At 37.6% G+C, this 14,843-nt stretch overlaps 1 annotated feature.

The window, feature by feature from the left end:
- Positions 7,433–8,420: an enhancer, noted in NCBI's record as "OCT4-NANOG hESC enhancer chr8:110151240-110152227 (GRCh37/hg19 assembly coordinates)". NCBI's record gives its function as "activates a minimal SCP1, AML or CMV promoter by ChIP-STARR-seq in primed H9 embryonic stem cells {active_cell/tissue: H9 hESC(primed)}" and the evidence as "EXISTENCE:reporter gene assay evidence [ECO:0000049][PMID:30033119]".

Genomic DNA, 14,843 nt, shown 5'->3' with positions numbered 1-14,843 from the left:
CTAAGTTTCAAGTAATGAATCATTTAGAAGGAACATCTGTTGCATCTTGAAATGGACTGGGAGAAAAACATTCTCTGGAAAACAGAGAATTTGAACCTATGTCACAGAGAGTTTTACAAACAGTTTCCAAGACTACAATAAAAAAGACAATTAGATTTAGCACTCATGGCTACCAAACCAACATTCTATGGCATCATGGCAGCGTTATTGTTTTTGATCTATTATGAGTTCTGATCTTTAAAATTCTCCTGAAATAATCAGAAATAAAGTTTTAATGTTATCTCATTTGATTTCATGGTGCCTAAAAGTCTGTTCTCTAAACTTGGCATGCACTGAACTGTTGTCACATTGAGAACTAGAAGACTTCCTGTTTGAGATTGACTCTCATTGGCATTATTATGTGACAGAAAGGTAGTAGGCTTGCAGTCAGCCTAATTTGAATCCTGTCTTTACCACTGACAAGCTGACAGAATTTAGGTAATTTGGATGAGTTACTTCCATTCAATAGAATAGAGTTGCCGCATACATAACACAGGGACTATAATATCTACCTCTTAGAATTGTTGTACAGAATAAATGAGCATTTGATGTGCTCATTACAGAGTAGTTCTAAATGTTTTCTCTTTTATCTTCATAAAACTCCAGCCAACTCTAATGAAATCTCCTGACAAATGCCCTCGAGTCAGGACAGAGACAGAAAGTGTTTTGGGTAGAAATGCATCTTGCAGCGGTCCTTTAAACTCGTGGGTGGCTAGTGTCAAATTCTGTTTTCTGACGATTGGTATTTCAGAAGGGATCTAGTGTACTTGAATGATCAGCTTAGGGAAAAAAGTTCATTAATCTTTTGTTTGACATTTGATTTGTCTGTAAATAACCAAATATTTAAACATAATTAAGCCTGTTATTTATTGACACTTCCATGATCCAGGCACTTTTTATACACACTATTTCATTTTATCACCCCTAACTTATAGATGGAAGCTCTGAGATGAAGAGTTGGATTTTAAATCTAGTGGCAGAATCAGGGTTTAAATCCAGCCTGTTTGATTATAAAACCAGGCACCTTTTACTTCATCACTTTGCTTCCTCAAATCATTCCTTTTTCACATATGTGAATGTTCAAGGCTACAGCATTATTTAGCAATTGCTAATCAGTATATTCATATTATAATTCCATAGATTTGCTTTCCTTTGCTTTGCCCTATTTCATTTTTAACACCTGCATAGTGTCTTTAAAAGTATACATTAAATATCTACAACTGTATATATCAATCATATGTCAATAAAATGGTTTACAAATTAAATAATTAGAAAATGTGATCCAACTTTATGTCTAAGTAACCTAAACTCATGTTTGTAAGTTATATTCCTCTCTCCTTCCCTTCTTTCTTTCCTCCTTGCTTTTCTTCCCTCTTTCTCTTCCTCCCTTCTCTCCTTCCTTTGGTCATTCTGATCCATTAAATGTTACATATGCATGTACAGACATGTATGTATAGAAATGTAGCAAAGCACTCCAGCTGTGCATGCTTACAAGTGTTAAAATGTATCATGCCATGGAAGGACACTTTCCAAAAAATAGCAGGTTTGTAGAACAAGAATAAATGATACATGGTTGGCTGGGTGCAGTGGCTCATGCCTGTAATCCCAACACTTTGGGAGGCTGAGGCAGGAGGATTGCTTGAGCCCAGGAGCTTTGAGACCAGCCTGAGCAAAATGGTGAGACCCTGTCTCTGAAAAAGAAAATAGCTGGGCATTGTGGTGCCTGCTTGTAGTCTCAGCTGCTCAGGAGACTGAGGTGGGAGGATTGCTTGAGCCTGGTAGTTCAAGGCTATAGTGAGCCTTGATCACACCACTGTACTCCAGCCTGGGCAACAGTGAAATGCAGTCTCAAAAAAATAAAAATAAAAAATAAAAGAAGGATGGTTGAGTTCAGAGCTTGGCTTGAAAGGAAAAGCAGATTGTCTATAATACGGTATAGGACATTGGAGAGCCCGTCTACTTGCCTTCACATTTGAAATGTTTATATTAAAGTTTTTCTCCTTTCGACTAAGCTGTTGTTGAATTCTAAAGCACTGTTGTGAAATAAATCATTCTGAGAATAGACTTTGTGGTGCAAGGAGAAAAGCCCCATTCATTTAAAAAGGCCTGAAATCTGAAACATTAATTTTACAAATATTTATGGAGCCCCTGCTATACAGTAAACATTGAGTATTCAATGACAGAGCTGATCCCTGTTTTTATGGAGCTTACAGTCCAATTGAAACAAGTATTTTTAAAATTTAGTCAGAGAGAGGAACCAGGGTGAAACTGGAGAGCTATTGTATTAGTTCATTTCCATGCTGCTGATAAAGACATACCCAGGACTGTGCAATTTATAAAAGAAAGAGGTTTAATTGGACTTACAGTTCCACATGGCTGGGGAAGCCTCACAGTCATGGTAGAAGGCAAGGAGGAGCAAGTCCCATCTTACATGAATGGCAGCAGGCAAAGAGAGAATGAGGAAGTCGCAAAAGCAGAAACTCCTGATAAAACCATCAGATCTTGTGACGCTTATTCACTACCATGAGAACAGTATGGGGGAAACTGCCTCCATGATTCAATTATCTCCCATCGGGTCCCTCCCACAAAATGTGAGAATTATGGGAGTACAATTCAAGATGAGATTTGGGTGGGGACACAGAGCCAAACCATAACAGTTATCCTGGTTGGATATCCATGCTTGGGGTCCCTTTATTTGCCTGGACAAAGGGAAGGAGCAGGGGGTGGGACTCTTGGGGGAAGATAGCAAAATGATACTAAGACAAACATGGCCTCCTTCCTAATTTTACCTGTCACTAGCTCTGACCATGTGACACACATAGTGTAAAATACAAACATGCATCTCTGAACCATGGTAGACTGGATCAATACTTCTTCCATGTTCACTCTGTGGTTGTGGCACTCCTGGGCCAGGCCAAGAGTAAAAAACCCTTCTAATTTTAGATGTGTACCATCTAAAGGAAATAAGTTATGTCTAATAAGTTGACTGGAAGCTCTTTATTCCTTTCCTTCTGCAGAAGCAGATATTTATTTATTATATATATATATAATTTACCATCTTTATCATTTTTAAGTGTACAATTCATTGGTAATAAATACATATATATACTCCCCCCTTCATCCTCCCTTCTTCCTTTTCCCAGCCTCTTGTAACTGCCAATATGCACTCTATCTTCATGAGATCCACTTTTTATAGCTCCAACATATGAGTAAGAACATGCAAGATTTTATCCAGTTAGAAAACTGGATAAATAGAATTTGGGAACATTTCACTAGCCATTGAACTAGAACCTTTAGGGCTTATTCATGACATACCACATGAACAGTTGAAAAATACTCTTAGATTTCTAGAAAAGGTACAAAGAGGGAGAGAATTGCAATGGAAAATGGAAAAGAAGGAAGGGTCAACATATGTACAAACTAACTGCAGAAAAGTGAAATCAAATGGATTCCAATGAAAATCGATTATCATGGAGATCTGTGCTCTGGTTCTGGGCTAAGATTTTTAGAAAAAGAAAAATAACTGTTTTTTCTGATAATTAAGAGAACATATGTTGAAACTTGAAGAAATTAAGATATTATTTAAAGGGATTTTTATCTTGCCTTTTTCCACTAGAATGTCTGTGTAAAATGATTTACTAGGATCACTGGTCCTAAGGGTTCTGATTCTTTGGTTAGAAATTTCTCACATTCAGATAAATATCACCTGAAAACTAAAGAATTAAACTTTTGTGCAATAAAAGATATCATAAAGACCGGGTGTGGTGGCACATGCCTGTAATCCCAGCACTTTGGGAGGCTGAGGCAGGCAGATCACCTGAAGTCGGGAGTTTGAGACCAGCCTGACCAACATGGAGAAACCCAGTCTCTACTAAAAATACAAAATTAGCCAGGTGTGGTGGCACATGCCTGTAATCCCAGCTACTAGGGAGGCTGAGGCAGGAGAATCGCTTGAACCTAGGAGGCGGAGGTTGTGGTGAGCCGAGATCACGCCATTGCACTCCAGCCTGGGCAATAAAAGCGAACTCCATCTCAAAAAAAAAAAAAAGATATAAAAGCACATTAAAAAACAAACTACCAAATAAAAGAAAATATGCTACAAATATACAAGGGATATTTAAAATATATAAAAAACTTCCATAAAGTTTTAAGAAAACTCAAGCAATTAAAAAAATGGACAAAGGTCATGAAAAAAAAACTTACAGAAAAACGTACAAGTAGAGGAGAGGGAGAAATAAAGAAGCTGCAATTTAAAATAATGTGACTTTTGGCTGGGTGCAGTGGCTCATGCCTGTAATCCTGGCATCTTGGAAGGCTGAGGAGGGCAGATCACTTGAGGTGAGGAGTTCGAAAGCAGCCTGGCCAACGTGGTGAAACCCAGTCTCTACTAAACGTATTTTTAAAAGTTAGCCAGGTGTGATGGCAGGCACCTGTAATCCCAGCTACTCAGGAGGCTGAGGCACGAGAATTGCTTGAACCCGGGAGGCAGAGGTTGCGGTGAGCTGAGATAGCACCATTGCACTCCAGCCTGGGTGAAAAGAGGGAAGCTCCATCTCAAAAAATAAGTAAATAAATAAATAAAATAATGTGACTTTTGACCTTCCATTTAGAAAAATCTTAAAAGACTGATAATATCTAGCATGGGTGAAAGTATAGAGGAATAATTACTCTCATGTATGCTTGGTTAGGAGTATGAATAGATGCAGTGTTTTTGGAAGTCACTATAGCAATAAAATTAAAAATGCATATGCCATTTGACTCAGCAATTTCTTTTTTAAGGCTGATATCCTATAGGATTGCTGGAAGAAATGCAAGAAAAAAACCACAACAAACTTCATGATAATGCTTACTGAAGCATTGTTTGTGATAGTAAAATGCTGGGATAACCCATGTGTCATTGATAGATGGATGTAAGTAAATCATGGTACATCCACACAATAGAATAATATGCAGTTGACCAATGTTCTTCAACCTGAATGATGTATGGACCTTCTCTAAGAGATTTTTAAAAATTATTTCCAAAGGAAGCATGAGGACTATCTTTAAGTATAGACATTAGATACTATAAAATTAACTTAAATAAGAAAAATCAAGTTACAGATTTGCATGTTTAGTACAACATTCTTTAAGAAAACAAACTCAAGCTATATATCTATTCTATTTCTCTCTCTCTGAATGTAGAGAAAAGGCTAAAAAGTACATATATCACACTGTTAATAGTAATTACCTTTTTTTTTTTTTTACTGTACATGAGTCTGATTTTTAAAAATTTATTTCAATAATATTATGTTCCTTACCTACTTCTTTAATTAACCAATTTTTAAAATTAGAGATGGGGTCTCACTACGTTGCCAGGGCTGGTCTTGAACTCTTGGTCTCAAGCGATCCTCCTGCCTCAGCCTTTCAAAGTGCTGGGATTATAGGCGTAAACTACCATGCCAGGCTGTTATTTAATTTTTAAAAATGAAAATATTTTAGAAAAACAAAAACCCTTTTATCATAGGATTTATTTTAATCTTTAAAAATTTACCTTGGGATGAAATTTATGGGATTTAAGAAGTAGAGCAAGCCATACTTGATCCAAACACATAAATGTAAAATGAATTTTTCATTAGTGATCTCCGAAACCAAGTACAACTCAAATCAATGTGCATAAGAAAGTCAAACATTCTTTGTTAGTTTTTTGGGATGGTGTCATTCTAGCTTGCTCTAAAATATTTATTCATTCAGTAATTTATCTGCATTACATTTCATGTAGTACTGTGGACAGAAAATGTTCAGCATTTGTTATATTTGTATAGGAAAAATGCTCCATGAGATAGTTTAATAGTAGGAATCAAAGTACCTCAAAATTCAAACAGTTCAGGCCCCAGGAATAATCCAGAGTAGAGGATAGGAAGGGTTAAACTTCATGTGAGCCTTTGATTCTGACATCACAATTAAATTATACAAATTCCTAACTTGTGTCAGATTTTAGAGTTTGCAAAAACCTACATACCTGTTATTCCTGTTTGTGCTCCTCGCAATCCTTTAAGATAAGGGGGGCAGGAATTAATATCTCCATTTTACAACTGAAACTGAAAATTAGAGGACTTCAATGAATGAAAAATCTGAGTAGCTTATCCTACCAAGTGGCAGATTAGTTCATGATTCCTTATTAAGTGATAAGACTTGCCAAACACCAGGAATCTGGGGAAGAAGTGTACTCAAAGAAGTATGCTTGGACCAATCTGAAAAAAGAAAAAAAATTCAGTTCAAACTGAGTGAGTAACAATTCACAGTAAGAATTAGGTTATATCAAAAATTCAGTCAATTTTTCAAGGCAGACAGAGTTAACACTAGTAGTAGTAGTGATGTTGTGGGCAGCTATCAACTTGTGAAGGGATCAAAGATTTGCCTGCCCAAGGAGGTGTCTTCTTTCATAGTTTCTGAAAATTCCCTTGGAGTCACTTCCATTGTCATTGTCCCCAGGTGGATGTGACAAATGAATTAATGGCTTATTGGATGGTATGAAACCTTAATCACCTTTTCTCCTTTTTAAAATGGCATTTAAAACTTACAGAAACATTGCAAGAAGAGAACAAGAAATTACTGTACCCATTTGAGGTATTTTGAAGACGTCATGCTCCTTTACCCCTAAATACTTCATCATGCATTTCCTAAGAATGTAAATTGTCTTAAATAACCACAGTACATTTGTCAAAATGAAAAAGTTTAACATTGATACAGTACTATTGACTCCATATTCAAATTTTCTGAAGTGGCCTCAAACTGTATACAGATTTTTTTTTAACCATGTCTAGGATTCAGTCAAGTATTACCTTTACCTATTTTTGTCTTAATAATAAATCAACTATTCCAAAAATGTTGCAGCCTTTGTATCTGTTGAGTATTGGTGCAAAGTATCATAACACATAAATACAGGCTAGTGTCCAAATCCCTCCTCACAGTAGATGAAAGGATGGCTGGGATTGGTCCCACCAAGGTACCCTCTTAGGTGCCAGTGTCACAGTTTGGAGAATCAGTATTTGCTAAATCTTAAGGCAAGGGTTCTACCTGCTGCAGCATGGTCAGCAATTATTTTGTTAAACAGTTAAGGTAGATTAACATCCATAATCTACAGTTGAAGAGAGACCTAGATATTAAGTGACAGAATAAAATTTCCAACCCATGTCTGTTGCAGGAAGTCAGGGACCCCAAACGGAGGGACCGGCTGAAGCCATGACAGAAGAACATGGATTGTGAAGATTTTATGGACATTTATTAGTTCCCCAAATTAATACTTTTGTAATTTCTTATGCCTGTCTTTACTGCAATCTCTAAACATATGTTGTGAAGATTTCATGGACACTTATCACTTCTCCAATCAATACCCTTGTGATTTCCTATGCCTGTCTTTACTTTAATCTCTTAATCCTGTCAGCCGAGAAGGATGTATGTCACCTCAGGACCCTGTAATAATTGCATTAACTGCACAAATTGTACAGCATGTGTGTTTGAGCAATATGAAATCTGAGCACCTTGAAAAAAGAACAGGATAACAGCAATTGTTCAGGGAATAAGAGAGATAACCTTAAACTCTGACCGCCAGTGAGCCGGGCAGGACAGAGCCATATTTCTCTTCTTTCAAAAGCAAATGGGAGAAATATCGCTGAATTCTTTTTCTCAGCATGGAACGTCCCTGAGAAAGAGAATACGCGCCTGGAGGTATCGGCTTATAAACAGCCCCCCTGGGCATGGCCTGTCTCTTATGGTTGAGGCTGCAGGGGTGAAATAGACCCCAGTCTCCCATAGCGCTCCCAGGCTTATTAGGAAGAGGAAATTCCAGCTGAATAAATTTTGGTCAGACCGGTTGATCTCAAAACTCTGTCTCCTGATAAGATGTTATCAATGACAATGGTGCCCGAAACTTCATTAGCAATTTTAATTTCACCTCGGTCTTGTGGTCCTGTGATCTCACCTTGTCTCCACTTGCCTTGTGATATTCTATTACCCTGTTAAGTACTTGATGTCTGTCAACCACACCTATTCACACACTCCCTCCCCTTTTGAAAATCCCTAATAAAAACTTGCTGGTTTTTGTGGCTTGGGGGGCATCACGGATCCTACCAATGTGTGATGCCTCCCCCGGACGTCCGGCTTTAAAATTTTTCTCTTTTGTACTCTGTCCCTTTATTTCTCAAGCCAGCTGACGCTTAGGAAAAATAGAAAAGAACCTACATGATTATCGGGGCAGGTCCCCGATACATGTCTTTAGTATCTCAATCCAGTTGCTTACTGATTTCCACATCACCTATCTATTCCTTTCCTAAAATCATCTTAACAAATTTTCTGCCCATTAACATTCTGTGAAATTATTATACTTGTTTATATTTTATGCTTTTGTCCATGAAATTCCCTTTTCCTGAAAATACTTTCTTTTGGTTCTTTTCTCTTTTTTTCAAGATTTTACTCATGTTAAAAACCTTTCTTGAATGTTGCTTTCTCTGTAAAGGCTGTCCTGACATCTTCAGAAAGAATGTACCACTTAGTCTGCATGGCTCCAAAGCACTTTGCGGATCTCTATGTTAAAAAAAAAATTATTTCAGTATTAACTAAATATATGTCAATTCACAACTGAGAATGGAATGGCCTTGTCCTAGTACAGTGCCTGGCATATCATAGGTGTTTAATAAATTATTACTTAATAAATGAGCTTTCATTATTTATACATTCACTGACTCCAGTTGGCATGGGTCTATGAACTGGAGAATGTGTAATCTAAACTAACCCTCAGAAGCTAATACTCTCAGGCAACTGACATCTGAAAGATTTATAAACTCAATTCATTGCCTTAAATCACAAAGTCTTATAAAAAACTGGCCTTTAAAGTCCAACATGGCATGCTTTAATCAGATGACATCAATCTGACCATTTGGGAAATGGATTTTAGCTTGAACAATCCTTTACCATCATTTAGACTTGGTTATATGCAGTCTATTGAATCATTCAGATTCATTTCTATTTTTTATGTTGGAGGCTGCTAACCTAGTGGGGATCCCAGATGGAAACCAAATCTGTGTACACATGGGGAGTTAAGTTCTGGGGCATGCAGCTGTGACAGGATAGAGTCACCAGCAATTGATTTTCGTGAGGGAGGGGCCTAAACACCTCATTGTAGGCAGCTCACACACAATGAAGGAAAAGTTAAAAGATGAAATCTTTGTGTGAGTGCACTGGGAGTATTTTGAATTTAGCAGGAGTGTAACTTTTGGCTCAACACTACTGACACTGATTCAGTTATCTGAAAACTCGATACAGCCATTTTTTTTTTGGTCATACTACTTGCATACTGATGACAGAAATATTTTTATACTTTTAGAAAGTTGCTCTCCCAAGTTGCACGAAATATAACAGTGACTCTGCAATTTTCTACATATGTAAGCTACTCCCAGGTAATTCTTAGGCCACTACTGTTACTGATGTTGGAATGGGCTTCTGACTTTAGTTGGCTCAATCAGACTAATGTGAAAGACATATTCCATCCTTGAACAGTGATTCCTCTCTCTCTCCTCCTCTGGATATTAACAAAAGACCCTGTTATTCCAGTGGCTGCTGGTTGCCATCTTATGAGCCAACCACTTCAAACAGCAAACAAGAGAGCAATCAGACAAGAGAAAGGAATAAAGAGCATCCAAATCAGTAAAGAGGAAGTCAGACTGTCACTGTTCGCCGATGATATGATCACATACCTTAAAAACGCTAAAGACTCATCCAAAAACTCCTAGATCTGACAAATGAATTCAGTAAAGTTTCAGGATACAAAATCAATATACACAAATCAGTAGCACTGCTATACACCAACAACAACCAAGATGAGAATCAAATCAAGAACTCAACCCTTTTTACATTAGCTGCAAAAATAAAATATTTAGAAATATACCTAGCCAAGGAGGTGGAAGACCTCTATAAGGAAAACTACGAAACACTGCTGAAAGAAATCATAGATGATACAAATAAATGGAAGCACATTGCATGCTCAGGGATGGGTAGAATTGATAGTGTAAAAATCATCATACTGCCAAAAGCAATCTACAAATTCAATGCAATTCCCATCAAAATACCATTAACATTCTTCACAGAACTGTAAAAACAGGCCTAAAATTCAAATGAAACCAAAGAAGAGCCCCCCAGAGCCAAAGCAAGACTAAGCAAAAAGAACAAATCTGGAGGCATCACATTACCCAACTTCAAACTATGCTATAAGGCTATAGTCACCAAAACAGCATGGTACTGACATGAAAATAGGCACATAGATCAATGGAACAGAATAGAGGACCCAGAACTAAATCCAAATAGTTACAGCCAATTGACCTTTGACAAAGCAAACAAAATCATGAAATGAGGAAAGGATACCCTATTCAAAAATGGTGCTGGGATAATTGGCAAGCCACATGTAGAAGAATGAAACTGGATTCCCTTCTCTCACCTTATACAAAAGTCAACTCAGGATGGGTCAAAGACTTAAATCTAAGACCTGAAACCATGAAAATTCTAGAAGATAACATTGGAAAAACACTTCTAGACATTGGCTTAGGCAAAAACTTCATGAGAAAGAACCCCAAAAGCAAATGTAACAGAAACAAAGATAAATAGATGGGACTTAATTAAACTAAAAAGATTCTGCACAGCAAAAGAAATAATCAGCAGATTAAACAGACAATCCACAGAGTGGAAGAAAATCTTCACAAACTATGCATTTGGCAAAGGACTAATATCCAGAATCTACAAGAAACTCAAACAAATCAGCAAGAAAAAAAAAGTAATCCCATCAAAAGGGGGGTAAGGACATGAGTAGACAATTCTCAAAAGGAGATATACAAATGGCCAACAAACATATGAAAAAATGCTCAACATCACTAATTATCAGGCAAATGCAAATCAAAATCACAATGTGATACCACCTTACTCCTGCAAGAATGACCATAATTAAAAAATGAAAAAATAACAGATGTTAACATGGATGTGGTAAGAAGGGAACACTTTTACACTGCTGATAGGAATGTAAGCTAGTAAACCACTATGGAAAACGGTGTGGAAATTCCTTAGAAACTAAAAGTAGATCTACCATTTGATCTAGCAATCCCACTACTAGGTATCTACCCAGAGGAAAATAAGTCATTATATGAAAAAGACATTTGCACATGCATGTTTATAGCAGCACAATTCACAATTGCAAAAATACTGAACCAGCCCAAATGCCCGTCAATCAATGAGTGGATAAAGAAAATGTGGGGTGTGTGTGTGTGTATGTATGTATGTGTATATGTATATGTATATACCACAGAATTCTACTCAGCCATGAAAAATGAATGAAATAATGGCATTCACTGTAACCTGGATGGGGTTGGAGACCATTAAGTAACTCAGGAATGGAAAACCAAACATTGTATGTTCTCACTTATAAGTGGGAGCTAAACTCTGAGGACACAAAGGCATAAGCATGATACAATGGACTTTGGAGACTTGAGGGGAGTGTGGTAGGGGGATGAGGGATAAAAGACTACACATTGGGTACAGTGTACAGTGTACACAGCTTGGGTGATGCATGCACCAAAATCTCAGAAATCATTACTAAAGAACTTATCCATGTAACCAAACACTACCTGTTCCCCAAAAACTATTGAATTTTTTTTAAAGCAGTAGCTATGGAGTCATTCAGAACTGGTTCAATTGGTGCATATGCTGGAGCTGGCCAGTCCTAAATTGAAAGGGCAGATGGCATGCATGTCTTTCATATTCTGCTTCATCTAAATTCTACACTTGGATTCCCAAGGACTATTGTCTTAGTTAAGTCAATGTTTCCGAGTGCACAACCACTGTATCCCAAAGGGGTGGTTCCAGAGAATTTCCAAAATCAGCTGCATGCATTGTTAGAACCAGCCTTTCCACATACGCTCTTAGGCTGTGTTCTTAAGACTGGGTCAAAAGCCTAGACAGCTACCTTTTTGTCAAGGTAAATTTATTTCAGGTGCCCTGTTCCTATTTTTTGCCAATGAAACCTGACCGGAGCAATTCCAGAAAGCCCCATCAGACTTTCTTCCTAAGTTCTTCTTTCAGGCAACAGTGTTGAGGCTGTGTTCCTTTGACTTTCAGAAGTTCTCTGGGTTCCCAAGTAACTCTTCTGAGATCATGACCTGCTCAAGTTACAAAAGATTTTGGTTTCCTACACCTCAACAACCAAAAGGGCTACTCAAGTGAGTCTTGGCTTGATAAAAATAAAGGGGTTTAAAAATTTCTATACAAATAATGCAAGTTGAAATTACATGTGCATGTATATAAAATCAGAATATTACACAAATGCTGCTTTATATCTTAAGTACTACTACTATATAATTTTAATGATCCCATAATATTCCATCTATAGAATTATAATTAATCTTCTAATGTTGAATTTTTAGATTATTTCTAATTGCTATCTATTATAAATATTTCCTCACAATGAACACCAGAGCCATAAGTTTAAATGCTCCTAATTGTATCTTTAAAGACGTCTTTAATCTGAAAGACTGAACTCAAGGAAATCTAGAACATTGCAAAATAAATTTGAAGATTGGTTTGGAATATGTCACCAAGTCTAACAGGGAAATTGTGAGCTAGAACCATGCAACTATTCCTCTTTGTTGCAAACAATACCCAAGTAAGGGGCCCTAATTCCTCTTCCTTGGCTGTTCATTTGCCCCTGGTATGTTGGGTTCCATTTGCCTCTCAAATCCCCCTTTTCAGCCTTTAGTTCCTCCTCCATGCTTTCCCAAAGGTGACTCTTGACCAAGACCTTCCCCATTTCTGCCAGGTAGGCATGGGGCATTTCTGAGAGCCCAGTTCAGTGTCTCTCTGCTTCTTTCTCAGCCTTTTAGAACTTCCAGTTTACACCAGCCCTGATTTCTGGAGAAGCACAAAGAGGTGAACACAGAGAAATTTGTAAATGTTCCTAGTAGGGTAGGAGTTAAGAGCCAGGATCAAGAGCAGCGTTAAGGTCAGGGAGCTGACAGTCCACTTTCACAGTATAGATCCCACACCTTTCCTAGGTACCTTCCAGCTGTGACAGTTTATTTCCTATCTCTGACTCAGGCTATGTTTCAGCACCTGCACCTGGGCTGCACATTTCATTTATTTTTATCTTCGGTTTGCAAGTGTACAGGCTCCTATGTTTTACTGAGATCAATTGGCTTCTGACCCTATTCCTCCTTCTAACCCTCCTCAGATCTCCTGAAGACCCAGGAGCCTCTTCTGGTCTCTGACTGTCTTAGTAATGAAGAGGCTGTGGTGTTGCTCAGTCATTTATTCAGTCATTCATATTCATAGAAAAGCATAAAAACAATTTTCTTAATTACAGTACTTGATGCTGCGATGTGTCTCCCAATTTTCTGTGTGCGGTTTTCTCTGTGTAACAGGCACTCTGCATGAATTTGACACCTTTAATTGCTGGAGAAATTTCTCCAGGAGAGGTAATACACAAAGAGGGAAATAAGCTTCCAGGATTCCATTTAAAGAATGTTACTTGACTCTGGTCTTACTGGGTTCAGGAAGCCTGGCTGAGCTGCTGCTTTTTGATTTGCATGTACAAACCAAGATTAAACTTCTGGTTTGCATTCTTCATTTGCTTATGAAAGTTCTGTTTATTTACCTGCAGGTGGAGATTTAGACGTTACTCTCTCTTGAGATCACTGTGAAAGGAGAGAATGAATAATTTGATGGTCTCTAAAACATGGAGAGAGGCTGCAGCCTTTCACCACAAAATTGAATTTTGTGAATCCATCAGTTAACGGCTATGGAAAGTGGAGTGTGGACTCTGTGGCTTCCCTCCAAATGCACTAAAAAAAAAAAAAAAAAAAAGAAAAAAAGAAAAAAGTCAGTAGGTCTAGGTTTGTTGGGTAGAATGCTTTGTAATCTCAGTCCAGTCTACAGGATTTCAAAATAACAGCTGGAAGGCAGAATAAAGACCAGTGAATATGTTTGCTTTTAGGATCTTAACAGTTAAATCTCCCTGTTTGATTTCAAAATTCCACCTCAGCTTTATCAGATATTAGTTGGCCACACTAAGTAGATTATTTTTCTTTTTAGTCATTTATAGTCTAATGACAGCCAAATATGTTTTGTTTCATTCTGGCTCTGCCCCTCACTCATGTCATCTGAATGCTTGAGGCTGTTGCTGATTGAAAGACATTCTGAAGCCATAAGTGATATCTGATGTTAGTTGGTGTTAGTACTTCTTGTTTGGGTAGGGTTGAACTCAGATTTGAAGTAAGCTAGGGATCCCTTGAGTTTTTCTTTTCTTTGACATTTACTCTTCTTCTATGTTCCAAAAAGAAGAAGGAAATTAGCATATCTACTTTGTTTCTCAAACAGCCTGTTTTCAATACAATTGTAATTTTCACTGAATCGACACTGCAATTCAGTCTGCTGTTCTGGAGAGCCAGTGCCTGCTATTTACCTTTGCGAGTTGACTTATATTGGGGGGAAGATATGCTAGAGATGGAAGTTTTTTGTGATTGAGTGCCTGAGAGCAGAGGTGGAGGAGGCAGAAGACAGGGTGGACCCGGGCTGGATTTGATCTTCTAGCAAGAGAGCATTTGCAGTGGAAACTGACAGCCTATTTTCATGAGTCATTCTTATACACAGTGAAAAAGCAGTGACATTGGAACCAAGGTTATGGCAAAAGATGATATGATGTAGGAGATAGGGGATATTTACATGGAGCAGGGAAATAAGTGCAGTTCTTTATGACAATGGAAATTTTTGCAACTTTTGAAGTCAGAAGAGAT

This window comes from Homo sapiens, chromosome 8 (genome assembly GCF_000001405.40).
Source record: "Homo sapiens chromosome 8, GRCh38.p14 Primary Assembly".
Lineage (NCBI taxonomy): Eukaryota > Metazoa > Chordata > Mammalia > Primates > Hominidae > Homo > Homo sapiens.
The sequence above is the reverse complement of the archived record's forward strand: the minus strand, read 5'-3'. Positions and strand labels throughout refer to the sequence as shown.